Below are 17,112 nucleotides of genomic sequence, written 5' to 3'. Positions count from 1 at the left end.
AAGTACTTTGAAAGGCTTCATGGAGGAGGGGGCATTTCACCTGGGTCTTGACCAATGAGTAGGAGTTTGCTGAGTGTGTTAGGTGTCTATAGCCGCATACCAAATTACCGCAAAACTTAGGTGCACATTTATTTGCACACATTTATTTCACTATTCTGTGGGTCAGGAATCTAGGGGCAGCTTACCGAAGAAGTTCAGGTTTAGGGTTTCTTATGATGATTTAGTCAAGGGGTTGCTGGGGCTTCAGCCTTCTCAAGGTTTGGTTGGGGAGGTCATTCACATACACATCCCCATAGGGCTGGCTCATGACATGGCAGATGGCTTCCCCCAATGTGGGCCATCCAAGAGAGGGCAAGACGGAAGCTGCAGTCTTTTTATAACCTAATCCCAAAGTGATGTTCTGGTACTTCTGCTGGGTCCTACACATGAGAAGTAAGTCACTAAGACAAGTCCACTTTCAAGGACATAAATGCCAGGGGGTGGGGATCACGGGGGGGCACTTCAGAAGCTGCTGGCCCCTGCAGTGGAGGAGTGCATGGTGGAGAGCTGGCACAGTGACCACAGTGACCTGTCTCCTGTTGTCTCCCACTGCAAGGGCCAGCATGAGGGTGAGTGAGAAGAGGAATGAGAAGTTTCCAGTTTGGGAACTAAGGAGATAATAAGGTAATCATCATAATGGAAGTATCTAGGTTTTTTTTTTTTTTTTATGTGTTTTTGAGATGGAATCTCATTCTGTCACCCAGGCTGAAGTGCAGTGGCACAATCTCAGCTAACTGCAACCTCCGCCTCCCGGGCTCAAGTGATTATCCTGCCTCAGCCTCCAGAGTAGCTGGAATTACAGGTGCACACCACCACATCCAGCTAATATTTTGTATTTTTAGTAGAGATGGGGTTTCACTGTCTTGGCCAGGCTGGTCTCAAACTCCTGACCTTAAGTGATCTGCCTGCCTCAACCTCCCAAAGTGTTGGGATTACAGGTGTGGGCCACCTTGCCCGGTCTTGGTTTTTTTTTTTTTTTTTTTTTTTTTTTTTAAGTGTGTACTATGCCAGACACTGTTCTAATCATTAACATAAAAAGCTCTCATTCAATCAATCCTCCCATGGTTCTCTATGAGGAAGGTCCTATTCAGAGCCCCATTTTACAGATGAGGAAACTGAGGCATGAAGGTGTTAGGCAGGTGATGGAGTGGGCTCTCAGCCTCCAAGATCCGGTCCCTCAACCTCGGGCTGCACTTGGCACTGGCCTCAGAGCCGGGGCTCCCTGAGGTCCGGCGGGAGGGTCGGAGGACTTGGGGACAGCCCCACTCAGTGCATCTGCAGGCACAGCATGGCTGAATGCAGACCTCTCCAAGATCACTCCAGGTTGGACAGAAGGTGGATTTATCTGCTGTTTTTCTGTTGTGACGAGTCAGTGACATTCCCAGCAGTGAGGGGCACACATCCTGCATCAGCAAACACAGGAAGCCATCCTGTTTGGCCTGAGGACGTGCTCTTCGGCCTGGAAACATCCTCTGGTCCTAGTTCTGCAGCTGAGGTGCCTTCCTGGGCAGTGACCATCAGGCGCACATCCCCTGGCTTGGCTGAGGGGAGGAAGTTTGTCTGGGAAGGCTCTTGGCGCTGCCATTGGTACAGCCTGGAGCTCAGCCTGTGCTTCCTGCAGAAGCCCCTGCAACCCCCAGCATCCTCCTGCAGTCCCTGCATCTGTCCATCCTCTGGCTCTGAGAGCAGCCAATGGCAGAGGGAGGAGGCCCCACACTGTTGGCTGTGTCCTTTTTTTTTTTGAGACAGAGTTTCACTCTTGTTGCCCAGGCTGGAGTGCAATGGAGCAATCTCGGCTCACCACAACCTCTGCCTCCCGGATTCAAGTGATTCTCCTGCCTTAGCCTCCAGAGTAGCTGGGATTACAGGCTTACACCACCACGCCCAGCTAATTTTGTATTTTTAGTAGAGATGGTATTTCTCCATGTTGGTCAGGCTGGTCTCGAACTCCTGACCTCAGGTGATCTGCCCCCCTCAGCCTCCCCAAGTGCTGAGATTACAGGCGTGAGCCACCGCGCCCAGCCCGGCTGTGTCTTTTCCACTTTAGGGAGGCAATCGGCAGGGAGCCTCCCTGGTCACCCGGCCTGTGCAGCACTGTCCTTCCCTGGGCCCACCATCTACCTGCTCTCCCCAGCTCCCAAGTAGATCAGAGAAGGTCCTGATGAGGAAGAGAAGACCGCTGGCTGGGCAGGGCAGCTTCCTGTTTGTATTCTGGGGTCACCTTCCTGTTTGTATTCTGGGGTCACCTTCCTCAAAGGTGCAGTGCACTTGGAGCCTGAAGACCAGGTTTCTGGCTCCAGCTAGCAACATTCTGCTGGATGACCTTGGCAGGTTCCCTTCTCCGAGACCCTACTAGCTCAGGGACCGCATGTCCTGATGGGAAGCCCTCCTTCCCATCCAGCAACAGAGCTTCTCCAATTCGAGCCTGCCTGGGAGTCGCCAGGCTCTTCTTGAAGTGCAGATTCTGATTCCGCTCGTCTGGGTGGGGCTGAGATTCCATGTCTCTGCTAAGCTCTGAGGTGGGGCCTCTGGACTCACCTTTGGAGTGTTAAGGGATAACAGGATGAGCGCTGGCACGGTGGGACATGGGGACATCCAAGCCTGACCCCTGCCTGTTCCTTCATTCACCATTTCCAAAGCACTTCCTGTGTGCCTGTTGCTCTACCAAGCTCCAGGGGTCCAGGCAGGGGGCTCCCCACTGCTGGTGGGGGTCTCTGGTCAACTGTCCAGGACAGCCTGGGTGGTGAGTGCCGAGATGCAGGGGCCTGCGGGAGCTCCATGGGGTCACCTAGCTACAGCGGGGAAAGGGGACAGGAGATGGGTGGGGGCTGGCGGGCAGTGAGGCCAAGCATCACAGGGTGGGCACGCGCCCTGGCGTGTTAGCAGAAAAGCAAGCCCTTGCCCAGGGCAGATGTGTGGGTGTGAGCCGGGCATAGAGGTGGCGGGGCCACATCCTGGGGGTCTTTGTAAACCACACTAGATGCTTAGACTCTGCCCTGCAGAAGGCCGGAGCTCCAGGAGTGCTGGAGACCAGCAAGGACATTCACCTTGCCTTCTAGACAAGCAGTGGGGCTGCCCGGCCCACCCTCCCCGGGCAGAGCCGGACCTGAATCCAGATCCCCTTCCACCGAGTTCCCAGCAAGCGCTGCTCAGTCACGGTCAAATGGACGATGGCTGCATAATGAGAAATAACTCAGCCCATCCCGGGAGGGGACCCCACGATGCCAGAGGCGTGTGAAGATGGTGGAGGACATGGAGGAGACTGTCACTTGGCAGGGCCTGGGAGTAAAGAAGATCGGCTGGGGCTTTGGGCTGTGTCCTGGGTCAACTGGGTGGTAGAGGTGGGTACGATTCCAGGCCGGGTGGTGAGGTGTGAACGGAGCAGAAGAGCTGAAGCTCCTCCCCAGCCTGTCTGTGGAGCAGCTGCCCTACTCTGAGCCCCACTGTTTCAGCCCCGCCAGTCACAGTCACAACCTTCCTGCGCTCCGCTGTTCCGAGGATGCGCCTCTGTCTCTCTTTGGTCTGAGGGGTCCTCTCGGGCCAGGGCTTGCCTGACTTATCACCGGGGTACAGTGAGAGGCCCAGCCCACACTAGCGCTCCTGTAGTTAATCATAATGATAACGCCAGTGCCCTGCGTCAGCTTCCTATCATGCGAGGAACAAATTACCACAAATGTAATGGCTTAAAACAACATGATTTTGTTATCTTGCAGTCCTGGAGGCCAGAAGCCCCAAATTGGTCCATTAGGCTACAGTCAAGGTGTCAGCAGAGCTGGTTCTTTCTAGGGGCTGCAGGGAAGAATCCGATTCCTGGTGTTCCCAGCTGTTAGAGGTGGCCCTCCTTGGCTCGTGAGCCTGCCTTGCTTGGACCTCTGCTTGTCCTCACTTCTCCTTATCTGACGCTTCTGCCTCCCTCTTGTAAGGACCCATGGGATTACATTGCACTGGGCCCACTGGCTAGTCCAGGATAACTGCCCCCTCCCCCCACCCCGGTCTCTAGATCATTGATTTAATCACATCTCTAAAGTCCCTTTTGCCATGTAAGGGAACATCTTCACAGGACCTGGAATTAGGACGTGGATGTCTTTCAGGTCCAGCATTCTGTCCACCCATGTGCTGTGTCAGGCGTGGTCCTAACTAACTCAGTCCTTCTAACAATGCTGTGAGGTCGGTACTCTTAGGATGTTCTTTTTACAGATGAAGAAACTGAGGCACAGTGGGATCAGGAGATTTGGCCAGGTATGCACAGAGCCCCACGACTGGTCACATGTCTCCAGAGCCTTAACGTCTACCCTTTGAGTGTTTCCCTGACCTTAGATGAAGGGAGGCCGTGAGGATCGGTCCTGAGAGAACTGAGAGAGCCCCGCCTCACTGCTCTTCTGGGTCAGTGGGGGGGTGGTGTCTGAGTGCTTTCACTGTCCGGGCTTGAGTTCCAGCCTACCTGCAAGTGGTTGTGGAAAGGCCACCTACCCTCTGTGAACCTCAAGTTCTTCATCTGTGAAATGGGCCCGCCTGTTTCTCCCTCCTCAGAATTATTATGAAGGTTCAGCACGATGATGCAGGTCAAGTGCTTTAGAACAGAGTGAGGTCGGTAGTAAGTATCAGTAAGTAAAGGCAAGGGGTCACTACTATGAATGCGCTCTCACCAATATGAGGCCTTTGGACTTTCACCATGCAGGCAAGGAAGCCACTGCTGACCCTGAGTGAGGATGAGGGTCCTGGGCTCTTGGCTCAGCTATGAAAGGAGCCCCTCCGGGTCTCAGCCCCGGCTTGCTGGGTGGCCTTGGGCAAGTCCCTTCCCCCTCTGTTTCCCCTGTGGCAAAACGGCATCTTTGATCTGCACGAGGGCTTGCATCCTTCTCAGCCCTGCTCTCTATGGGGCTATAAAGCAGGGAGGCCCCAAGGCACCCCTTGCCCCCGCCCCCTATGGCTTGGCTGCTAAATGATCAGAGAGGGAAGGAAAGTGGTTGCCGTCAGGCACTGGGGGACTTGTTGGCTGATACTTGGCAACAGATTGGCTGGCACCTGGAGGGCACAAATAGGGTATTGAAGAATGACCTCCAGCTGCACTGGGGCAACATGGCCCCGGGCCCTCTACCTTTCAGGAGGGCTCCTGAACCACTATGGATAAGATGCATCTCCAGCAAAAGAAACTACCATCAGAGTGAACAGGCAACCTACAGAATGGGAGAAAATTTTTACAATCTACCCATGTGACAAAGGACTAATATCCAGAATCTACAAAGAACTTACACAAATTTACAAGAAAAAATCAAACAATCCCATCAAAAAGTGGGTGAAGGATATGAACAGACACTTCTCAAAAGAAGACATTTATGCAGCCAACAGACACATGAAAAAATGCTCATCATCACTGGCCATCAGAGAAATGCAAATCAAAACCACAGTGAGATACCATCTCACACCAGTTAGAATGGCGATCATTAAAAAGTCAGGAAATAACAGGTGCTGGAGAGGATGTGGAGAAATAGGAATGCTTTTACACTGTTGGTGGGACTGTAAACTAGTTCAACCATTGTGGAAGACAGTGTGGCAATTCCTCAAGGATCTGGAACTAGAAATACCATTTGACCCAGCCATCCCATTACTGGGTATATACCCAAAGGATTATAAATCATGCTGCTATAAAGACACATGCACACATATGTTTATTGTGGAACTATTCACAAGAGCAAAGACTTGGAACCAACCCAAATGTCCATCAATGATAGACTGGATTAAGAAAATGTGGCACATGTACGCCATGGAATACTATGCAGCCATAAAAAAGGATGAGCTCATGTTCTTTGCAGGGACATGGATGAAGCTGGAAACCATCATTCTGAGCAAACTATCGCAAGGACAGAAAACCAAACACTGCATGTTCTCACTCATAGGTGGGAATTGAACAATGAGAACACTCGGACGCAGGGTGGGGAGCACGTTGTGCACATGTACCCTAGAACTTAAAAAGTATATATAAAAAAAAAGTTCAGTTTGAGCAACAACGCAGAATAGTGACCAAAAAAAAAAATGTGCCTCCCAAGCCCATTCCAGGTTCTAACCAGCTGCCCAATGGGCCTCTGAGGGTCAGGCCAGGCCTCTTTCCTCCTCATCTTCTCCATGTCTCTCTCTCTGTAAGGTAATTTTGGGACAGACGCTGTCCTTAAGTAAACCTTCTATTATTCTTTTAAAAATGCAGTTGTTTCCCGACAGGAACATTGCCCCCAGCTTCTCCTACTGAGGCACACAAAAGAGATGCACCACAGGGCGCCTCTCTCCATCCCTCCCTGAAACGGATCAGGAATGAAACATCCTTTAGAGGAAGAGCATCCGGGCCAGCAGCTGGCCCGGCCTGGATCAGCTCTTCCCCACTGTGGCCAGAGAAGGCCTGGGGCCTGCAGACCCCTGGCCCCCGCCTGAGTCCCCCATCTGCCGTTCAGCCCGCGGGCAGCCCCGGGGCAGCTGCTGTCCTCACTCGTCCATTCTGCTGGGACTGCACATTTTCCTTCCAAGTTCAGCCTCCGTGGTAAACGGGAGACGCCAGATTTCTTTCCGTCCTCCGTCCCCACCCGTGTCAACTCACCAGGCAGATGTTTCCCACTGGTCTTTCCTCCCACCAGGCCAGCAAGGTTTTGAATCAGAGGATGGAAAATGTAATTGCAGAGAGAAGTCAAACATCTTTAACCTTTAAAGGGGACATGTCCTTCATTTATTCAGTGAGCACTTGCTGAGTGAGGCACTGGGATTTGATGAAGCCTGAGGGCCCTGCCCTCAAGGCACTCACAGTCTGCTGGAAAGGATAAGAACATGGATGGCGGGTGCTGTTGAGTGGCCTCCTGGGGGTGCCAAAATTGGGGGGTGGGCACTGAGGTAAAGGGGGGCAGGAGCTAAGGAGAAGAGCTCCCAGGCAGGGTCTGGGAGGGGAATCACACGTTCCCCAGCAGCAGCAGGAGATTGGGGATGGGAAGGGTTTCCAGGTGGGGGACACGTGCCCCAAGCCGCAGAAGAGCAAGGAAGTGGGTCATGCGGGGAAAAGGGAGGAGCTGGACTCGGCGCACAGGGCAAAGGAGGCCAGGTGGAGCTGGAGCCGGATGCAGGCCTTGAGTGCAGGCTACCGTGGCCCCTGAGGACTTTTTTTTTTTTTTGATACACAGTCTCACTCTGTCACCCAGGCTGGAATGCAGTGGTGTGATCTCGGCTCACTGCAGCCTCCACCTCCCAGGTTCAAGTGATTCCCCTGCCTCAGCTACAGGCGGACACCACCACACCTGGCAAATTTTTGTATTTTTAGTAGAGATGGAGTTTCACCATGTTGGCCAGGCTGGTCTTGAACTCCTGACCTCAAGTGATCCGCCCGCCTCGGCCTCCGAAAGTGCTGGGATTATAGGCATGAGCCATTGCTTCCGGCCCCCTGAAGGATGTTGAGCAGGGGTGTGATGTGGTCAGACTCAGGACTCAGAAAGAAGGTAGCTGGCGGCAGGAGACCGGCAGCAGGGGTAGTAGCGGGAGGTGATAACGATAGTGGAGGTGAGAGATGAGTAGGCCCGGATGGAAGCAGGTCAGGAAGACACAGGGTCGGGAAGGGGACAAGATCAGAGCCACGTGTCCCAGTGAGGACACTGTGTATTCTGGTGGGCGGCGATGTGGGAGCAGGGACTCCACTGGGAGCTCAGGCCAGGGCTCCGGGCTGCAGTCAGCTGGCTGGGACAAGCCGCATCTTGGCCCTGAGAGTGGGGTCCTGTGCAGGTACCGGGGCAAGGACCTGGGAAGTAAAAATACACACATGTGCTCACGTACACACACACACACCCACACACGCACACACGAGTGCGCAGATGCAAGTGCACACACACTCTTCTTTTTCCCTTTCCTCTTTCCTTCCTCTCTCCCTCCCTCCCTCCCTCTCTCCCTCCCTTCCCCCTCTCTCTCCCTCCCTTCCCCCTTGCTCCTTCCTTCCTCCCTCCCTCCCTCCCTCCCTCCCTTCCTTCCTTCTCTTCTTTTTTCCTTTCCTTCCTTTCTCCCTCCCCTCCCCTCCCTCTCTCCTTTCTTCCCTCCCTCCCTCCCTCCTTCTCTCCCTCCCTCCCTCTGTTTATTTCACTCTAATGAGCACCAATGAGTGTTCATCCTGCAAGAGGGCTGGAGCACTGACAGTGCCTGAGCACGCGGTCTTGCCTCACCCAAGGGAACAGACTCCTGTTGATGGTTTCCTTGCCATCCATTTGATCACATCTCAATGCAGTCCTGAAAAAGACTGTTACTTTTCATCATTTTTAACTTTGAAAAAGGGCATTATGCTATAAAGTTTTTAAAAATAAGTTTTTAAAAGAACAATATTAGGTTTACAGAAAAATTGAGAAGATAGTACAGAGTTTGTATAATCTTTTTGGATTTTTTGTCTCAAAATTTTATTGCTATTTTGGAAAACAGTTTGGCATGGCTTGCAAATTTGTGCCTTCACAAGCCCTGCTGGGAGGAAACCCGGCAATTCCTGTCCTAGGTGTGTATGAGGCTGTTCCTAGCAGTGTTGTTCCTAGAATCAAAACATTGAAAATAGCTCAAATCTCATCAACAGAAAGAAATAGATGAATACATTGTGATATGTTTATACATTGGGATGTTATAGAGCAGTAAAACTGAATAACAGCAGACAATAAAGATAGAGATGAATCTTACCAATTTAATTTTGAATGAAAATGAAGGAATGTCTGAGATCTTTTCCCTCTTCAGTGTATAGGGAACTTGAAAAAGCTGTCCTGGAATTTGGAGCTGATTCAGCTAAATGCCATCACATTTTGGGAACAGAATGACGAAGGTCAACACAACAGAGCGAGTCTCTGCAGGAGGACTACCTGAAGGGATGACTCGGAGCTGGAGGAAGGGCCAAGCCTGACTAATGAGTCAAGGTGGCCAGAGCTGACTACCTGTAGAAAGGCAAGGTGTGTCCCAGCTGAGGCCAGAAGGGCCTTGGCCGGAGAAGCTGGCTCCCCTGGGATAGGCCGGCGAGAGAAAGACGCCGATGTTGGCTGCACAAGGACTGCAGTCACCAGAGAGTAGGTCCAAAGCAGGGCAGGGAAGGTTCTCCAAATGCTGCCCCAGCTGTACAAACTGTCCCTCAACCCATCCAATTTCCATGCTCACCTAGCAACACTCATATTTTTCTAAAATAATTTTTATTACAAAACAGTACATGCTTATAAAATAAAAAATAAAAAATGCATAAAGTAGAAAAAAGGAATAAAAATCATCCATGCCTTCACCACTCATGATTACATTTGGGAGTATTTTATTTCAGCCTTTTTCATATACTAATAATCAGATGGTACCCATTACTTTAACTGATGTCTTTTATCCAAGCACATTTTCCCTTTATAAACCCTTTGCAATCACCATATTTTTGGAATGTATAACAGTCATTGAGTAAAATCCACCCATCCATCCATCCGTCCATTCATCCATCCATCCATCCACCCATCCATCCATCCACCCATCTGTCCATCCATCCATCCATCTATGTCACTTCCCCTTCATAGACTATATTCTACACAGAAAATAAAAATATGTCAATGGCTGTCCTCCAAGGGTTGGCTATTTTGGCTGTTTCTAGGCTTTCACTATTATAAATAATCTTGCCAGAAATAACTTGGTACATAAAGCTTTTTCAATATTCAAATTATTTCCTTAGAAGACAGTCTTAGACGTGACATTATTAGATCAAAGGGTTTGCATATATTTAAGTCTCACGATAAGGCCAGGATGCTTTCCAAATGTATGGCAATGATGTACCCTACAGCAGGCGGCCTGTGATCAAGCCCATTTCTATGCATCCTTACAAGCATTGAGTAGTCTAATTTTAAAATAGCTCTGCTAATTTTCAATGATCAGTTGAAGGCAATCAGTGGTATCTTAAATAGGAAAGGATCCATCCTGGGGTATTAGGTCCTGGGACAGCTCTATCCTTCAGTTTGAGTGGTTATGCTGCTATCTGGTTGATTACTAGCCTGTTATCATTTTACTGTGTGTTAGCCAGGCCCCTGGGCAAGAGGATGATATGCAGTTCCAGGGTCAGCTGTGCTGAGGCCCAGACCCAGACATTTAAAGGCCAAATAATCCAGCCAGGCATCACTTTGATTTCTCTTAATTGCAATCCTTTCTGGAGAAACAGATTTGATAGAAGGAAGGAAGAATATGAAGGTGCCAGCCACTGGGGAGGGCCATTGTCAACCACACAACATCTATTCTACTCCTGTCTTCTTCCCACTAGCAGAGCTGCAGTTTGTTTAGGCAATTGCATGGATTCACTGATCTCAGGGAAGGAAAGCCCCAACCCCAGTCCTAGGGGACGAATCACGATTGGACTAAAGCAAGCATAATAATATAATCCCCGCTGGCCATTCATTGGTGACTGCGGTCTTGGCCAAAGCAGTGTCAGAAAAAATTGGCTGTGTGGGACAGACTCAGCTGGCCTCCTGCCTGGGATGCAAATGGAATGCCAGGGGTATAGCAGCCACCTTGTGACTATGTGTTGATGAACGTTAGGACAAAAGCCAACACACTAAGAACGGCTGAACAGAAAAACAGATAGAGCCTGTGTCCCTGAACAGCTGATTCACTCCTCAACTGCCTCTTCTCAGACTTCTTGTTACGTAGAAAAATAAACCTTATATTTGTTTGTACCACTTTGGTTGCCTTTTTGTTTACTTGCATTTTAATGGATTCCTGGTATTTGTCAGGACAGGTGATGCTAGCTTCTATAACAAACGCTTTCCAATCTCAATTGCTAAACACAGTAAAGTTTTAAGTCTCACACGCATCACAGTCTGAGGAGGGTCCAGGCAATGACTCAGGGATCTAGGCGCCTTACATCTTATGACTTTATCTTTTTCAACACAGGGTCTCTGGGGTTGCCATGGACAACCATGCACATGATTTTATGGCCAATCCTGTAAATAGTATGCATCACTTCTGTTGACATCTCTTTGGCCAAGACCCAGGCATATGGCCTCCAGCTCACTGCAAGGGAGGCTGGAAGAGGTAGTCTTCTTGTGTGCTCAGGAAGAAGAAATGGGATTAGTGAGCTGGTAGCCAGTCTCTACTACACACTCATTGAAAGGGAAAAATCCCAAAGATGAACATGTTTACAGGAAAATTTGCCAAAGACCCATCTGGGAATGGTGTTCCTGATCTGGTGAGCCAGTCTGGCTTAATGTATAGTGGCTGAGCTGGGCCTGATGATCGTCAGTCTGTCGTCTGCATCTGAGGTTCACCTTGCCAATTTTTAATCCTGTGAAAAGTGATACTGACATTTCCCAAGAGTGTGTTTTAAAGAATAGTAAGACTTTTTTTTAAAGTTTGTACATCTTTAAGAGATGCATTCCCTGTAGCTTGGTTTGAAATGCATAGGCCTGGTCGAAATTGCCTTGGTCAGGTTGTCTTCTCTTAGATTTTTTTTCATAAACCCACTCATTAACAGCCATGAGCACAGGTTTTGTTCATAACTCTGGGCTGCGCTTGGGACCCAGGTACAGGTGTGTTGTGTTGCTGCCCTCCAGGAACTTGCCAACTGGCCAGCATGTGTGTCTACACATAAGGGAGAAAGGGCAGGAGGGGGCCAGGTAGGTTGCTGTGGCAGAGAACCCAAGGTGTGTTGAACCACACACGTTCACATGGGAAAGCTTGCTGTGCAGGGCAGTGCTGACCTAAGGGGTGGCCTCTCAGAAATTCTGATGCCATCATCTGTTCATTTCATCGGTTGTGTGGGCAAAATGCTGAGAATGGTGTCTGGCATATGGCACTTTATTTTTATTGGTCCATTTGTTCATTCAGCAAACAGGAAAGGGGCACCTGTTATGTGCGAGGCCCTGGCTAGCTCTGAGGACAGGGAGAGAGCCCTCTGTACGGCTGTAAATCTGGCAATCATGTCCAGCCGCAAAGCTGACCAGATTGACAATTTCAGCACAGGGGTGAGGATAGTGTTATTGATTATGGAAGCATGCAGGAAGGGCATTTAATGCTTCATTGGGGTTAGGGTGGCCTTCCTGGAGGAGGTGGCATCTAAGTAGAGCCTTGAAGGATGAATAGGAGTTGGCCAGGCAGAAACGGTAGATAATTTGCAGAGCTCAGTGCAAAGCAGGAAAAAAGTGCCTCTGAAGATACTAAAATATAAAGCTTTTCCTTTCTTCCGGTCTCTTTCTAGACTTATCGTGGTATTTTAAATTTGCTATTTAATGATGTTCTAAATAAAGAAAATTAAAAATTTAAATTGTTAGCATGAATTTTACCATTCATTCTTTACATTGCATAATGTCAGTTTTGAATAGAAATGTAAGAGCATTTAACTCATACACAGAGTCCCTGAAATGGCACAACTTGCATTCTGTATTTCTTGCATTCACGTGTATTTCATTCTTACCAGGATAGTGGAGACCCTCAACTGTTTTTATTTTGCTGTTTGATATAATCACATTCTGCCAACACTCACTGCCTTCGCCTCACTGACGAGTGAGGAAGAATTGAAGGGAAGAAACTAGGGCTGCCCTGCCTTTCCCTTCCCTCTGAGTTGTCATTTTCAGCCTGAGTGGTTGGCTAACGTGGGGAAGCGACAGTATGAAAGGATAAGATAAAGTCTCCTCGGTTATTCGCGTTTCTAAGAACGCCACTGTTTTTCTTCTAAGATGGAAGCGCTTTCTGGTTTGAAGGGAAAGTGTGGCCTCTTGGGTCCGTCAATGTCCTGCTCACGCAGCGTGTCCTTGTGTTCAGGGCAAGTCTCACTGAACTCCCGTCCTGGGCTCACCAGAATTTGATGCTTACCGAGTGACAAGGAACAGAGGACACAAGTTCAAAGACGAAATTAAGAATTTCAAGATGGTGACAGCAGAATAGTAAACCAAGCCTGGGCCCCTCCTGAGCCCAGGGCCCCACGTGCAAGGTGCATGTGTTGTGGAAGCCCCGTGGTGAGCCTGAGACAGCAGAAACTGAGGCCGACACGCATCTCAAACGTGCCTCCTCTGCTCCCACATGTGCTTGACCCATCTGGACTTCACTTACAAAATGCAAGTTTGAATATAAAATTATTAAGAATTGCAAGATGACAACAGGGGAGTATGAAACCAAGAACACAGCCCTTCTGAGTGAGGTCCCGTGTGACTGCACAGGTCACCCACGGCCGGGTAACAAGATACACCGTGGAGAAACTGCAAGAAGTCCCAACACCTGCCCGTGTGCTGCCTCTGTCATTTATAGGGTATGGGTCTCCCTGTACACTACTCTTTCCTATCCCTCTCCTCTTGCCCCCACCCACTCTGTCACTGTGCTTCCATAGCTCCAGGTCCCCCAGAGCTAAGTGCTTGGCTTTGGGGGTGCTGGGCCCCCCGCAAATGGGCCTGGCAGTGGGCCTGCCTCAGGAGCGCTGCAGTAGGCAGGGCCACCTGCCTTGTGGCTGCCACCCACCCAGGGCTGCGGAAAGGCCTGGTGGACAGAGGGCTGGGGGAGCGTGCCTGGAGCGGGGGGCCTCTCCTGTGACTGACACCTAGGCTGTCCAGAGTGGCCGTGGGAGCCCAGCATGGCCCTGCCACACCCCATGCAGCCTCCGGCTTGGCCCCTGCCTCTCACCTTCCACCCCAAACCCCTCCCCTCTGCAGCCAGGGAAGTCTTTCAGAAGCACACGTTGCGTGGTTTGGGCCATCAGCTTTGGCTGGTGTGACAGGGTCTCAGTGGCCAGCCCCTGTTCACCTCTCCAGCCTCATCGCTGGAGTCTCTTTCCAACTGTCTGACCTGGGCCGGTCCCTCCGGAGGGAGCGTCGTGGTGTGTGCTACCAGGATCGGCAGGTCCCGTGGTGGGATGCTGTAAACAGGGGCTTCAAGGGAGCACAGAACGGCTCAGGTATTGGGCAGCCAGACTCTGACTCTCAGTACTGCTGAAGCCACGGGAAGCCTGGGGCGCTGAGGTGGACCTGGTGCAAAGACACAGAGTGCCAGCATGTCTGGAGGGGAAGCAGGGATGGGAGAGATATCGGGGACAGAAACTCATTTCTGGCCAAGCGCCTGGCTCATCTCATCCTCTGCCTTTTGTCTGAGCTGACCATAATTAGTCGTCTTAGTTCCCTGTGGGTGAGCCAGGCTGTGCAGGGGTTCAGAAGGCTTGAAGCACGTCTTGTCACCCTGGTCCAAGCCGGTCTATTTCTGGCAGTTTAATTGTGGATGCTGTGTTCCTGGCGTGGGAAGGAAGGCAGGAAGGACCTGGAGGAAGTCGGAGCAGGAGAGAAGCTCTGGTCGTGTGACTTTTCCAACCATGGCCCCTTAGGAACAGGCTGCTCCTGGCAACTCAGCTATTCTGCTCCCACCTATTTCTAGCTCGGGGCAGGAAGCTGGTTTAGCAGGGAGGGGAAGCTTCTTGTTAGACTCAAGAGACCAAAGTGCATTTGGAGAAGAGCCATCGAGGTCTGTGTAACTGTCAAGTTCTGGGTAGACATTGAGTTCTGTGTAAAGATGGGGATAGGCTTGGGGTCCAACAGACCCAGACCAACAGCACCTCTGTCCCTCCCAGGGTGGTGTGACAATCCTTGGAAATAACTACACGGCCAGGGCCAAGTCGGTGCTGGGCACACAACACGCGATCCATCAATGGTGGTGGGCATCCCGTCTCTTCCTTCCTTAATAAAGACATCTCAGGGTGAAAAGGGGATGGCGCTGGGCAATACTAGGGTGGAGTGGAGGGTCTTTAGGGCCTCCAGCCAGTGTGAAAATCCACAGACCTGAGGGTGGGCCAGCAGGAAGGAATTTGGGTGGGGATGGTCTTTAAAAACCCAACAGAAGAGAGTGGTTACTGACGACTCTCTTGATACTTAAGAAGGGAAAAAAGAACAGCTTCGAAATCTGAGACAATGGATTGTAGTATCTTTGATGGAATTCAAACTCGGCCTGAATTCTGGGACACATTATGAAACAATTAGTGAAGAAAGCTGAGATCATGAAGACGTTGTGTGTTTGTTATTACTTTGTTTGTTTGTTTATTTACAGGGCTGAGCAGAGGGTTGGCATCTAATCCATGCTCCTGAAAGTGAACTGACTGTAGTTCAAAGTGATACCATTTTTCTTCTGATGGTAGGGTTACTACAGGCATCCTAGGAATATGTCCTGTGCGTAGGTAATTTTAGCATTTGGCAGGGCATCTGAGAGTTCTTGAAATCTTCGTGAAACACACAGTGAAAATACAAACTGAATGTTGGCCAGTTAAGGTAGGATTGGGTTTGATTGTCTGACCAGCAGTGAATCTGGTAAGCCCATGCAATTGCCAATATTTGGTTTAATCTACAAAAATGGCTATTTCATATGATCCACCTACTATTTATTGGACTAGGGAACTGTCTACTTCCCTTCCAACACAAGGGTTCTGTATTGCTGTGAAAGTCTACTTGTTCAGAGGAATGTGAACTTCAGCTGCCACAACGCCTAGTGAAACAAGCTCTGATTCTGTGGTCAGAAGGCCCTAGGTTCAAATCCTGACCCTCCCACTCCCAAGATTCAGGAAAGAGCATGCAAAGTGTGGCGCCTGCCCACTGGGGGTTCCTGCCCTCCTCTCTGCTGAGGGTCTTTGGTCTGTAACCAGGTCTGCATTGTACCTGGTGTGAAGAATTGAGTGGGGATGAGGCTGGAATGTGTAGGGTCAGAGCTGGAGGAGCAGAAAGGGGCAGAGCACTGGGTCTAGGATCCAGGGAGGAGCTGGGGTAGGGTTGGGACAGTGGATAAGGTCACACCGTGGAGAGATGCCAGGCAGGTGCTGTGAGCTGAGCAGTGCTGGAGGTGAAATGGAGATATTAGCTGAGGGTGGACACATAACCCAGGGCACCCACCTATCTCTTCAATATGCTGCAAACCCAGACATCCCCCACCTGAGTGGCCTCCAGCTGCAAGTCTTCATCCTCCAGATGGAGGGTCTGCAGGCCAACCACAGTGCTGGGCTGGACAACTGTTTCGGCAGCATGCTGGGCTTGTTCTGGGTCTGGGATGAAGGGTCAGTGGCCAACTGGGCATGCTTCCCTCAAGGTGGGGGGGTCAGAGCTTCCCAAGGTGTGAGTGAAATCAGGCCTTGCCAGTTAAGGCCTAAGCTCAGAACTGGCACCCTATCACTTCTGCCAAAACCTCACCGACCAGAGTAAGTCACATGGCCAAGCCCAATATAAATGGGGCAGGAAAGTGCATGGGCCTGAGCGGGGGTGGAGGAACGGGAGTGAATGATCACTGCAGGATAATCCAGGCCACTACCATATTCAAGACCTGTGCAGAGTCAGTGGGCATACCTCGTCAAATACCATGTGGAATATTGTGCAAAATACCGTGTGGAATATGGTGCGGAATACCGTGTAAAATATTGTGTTAAATACTGTGTGGAATGCTGGGTGCAATACCATGTGGAATATTGTGTGGAATACCACGTGGAATACCGTGTGGAATACCATGTGGAATAACGTGTGGAATATTGTGTGGAATGCCATGTGGAATACTGTGTGGAATACCATGTGGAATACCGTGTGGAACACCATGTGGAATATTGTGTAGAATACCGTGTGGAATACTGTATGGAATTCCATGTGGAATACAGCATAGAATACCGTGTGGGAAACCGTGTGAAATACTGTGTGGAATATTGTGTGGAATGCCATGTGGAATATTGTGTAGAATACCATGAGGAATACCATGTGGAATTCCATGTGGAACTCCATGTGGAATATTGTGTGGAATACACTGTGGAATACTGTGTGGAATATTGTGTGGAATAGCATGTGGAATATTGTGTGGAATACCATGTGGAATATTGTGTGGAATTCCTTGTGAAATACTGTGCGGAATACCACATGGAATACCATGTGGAATACCATGTGAAATATTGTCTGGAATACCATGTGAAATATTGTGTGGAATACCACGTGAAATACCGTGTTGAATATCCTGTGGAATATTGTGCGGAATACCGTGTGGAATACCATGTGAAATGTTGTGTGGAATACCATGTGGAATACCGTGTTGAATATCATGTGGATTATTGTGTGGAATACCATATGGAACACGGTGTGG

The 17,112-nt window shown here is 50.0% G+C and overlaps 2 annotated features.

Moving 5' to 3' along the window:
• Window positions 5,951-6,514: an enhancer, noted in NCBI's record as "NANOG-H3K4me1 hESC enhancer chr10:125929584-125930147 (GRCh37/hg19 assembly coordinates)". NCBI's record gives its function as "activates a minimal SCP1, AML or CMV promoter by ChIP-STARR-seq in naive H9 embryonic stem cells {active_cell/tissue: H9 hESC(naive)}" and the evidence as "EXISTENCE:reporter gene assay evidence [ECO:0000049][PMID:30033119]".
• Window positions 7,616-8,815: an enhancer, noted in NCBI's record as "CDK7 strongly-dependent group 2 enhancer chr10:125927283-125928482 (GRCh37/hg19 assembly coordinates)". NCBI's record gives its function as "activates an origin of replication core promoter dependent on BRD2, BRD4, P300/CBP, MED14 and CDK7 cofactors, with strong dependence on CDK7, by STARR-seq in HCT116 cells {active_cell/tissue: HCT116}" and the evidence as "EXISTENCE:reporter gene assay evidence [ECO:0000049][PMID:35650434]".

Source organism: Homo sapiens, chromosome 10 (assembly GCF_000001405.40).
Source record: "Homo sapiens chromosome 10, GRCh38.p14 Primary Assembly".
Taxonomy (NCBI): Eukaryota; Metazoa; Chordata; class Mammalia; order Primates; family Hominidae; genus Homo; species Homo sapiens.
This window is presented reverse-complemented; position numbering and strand designations above follow the sequence as displayed.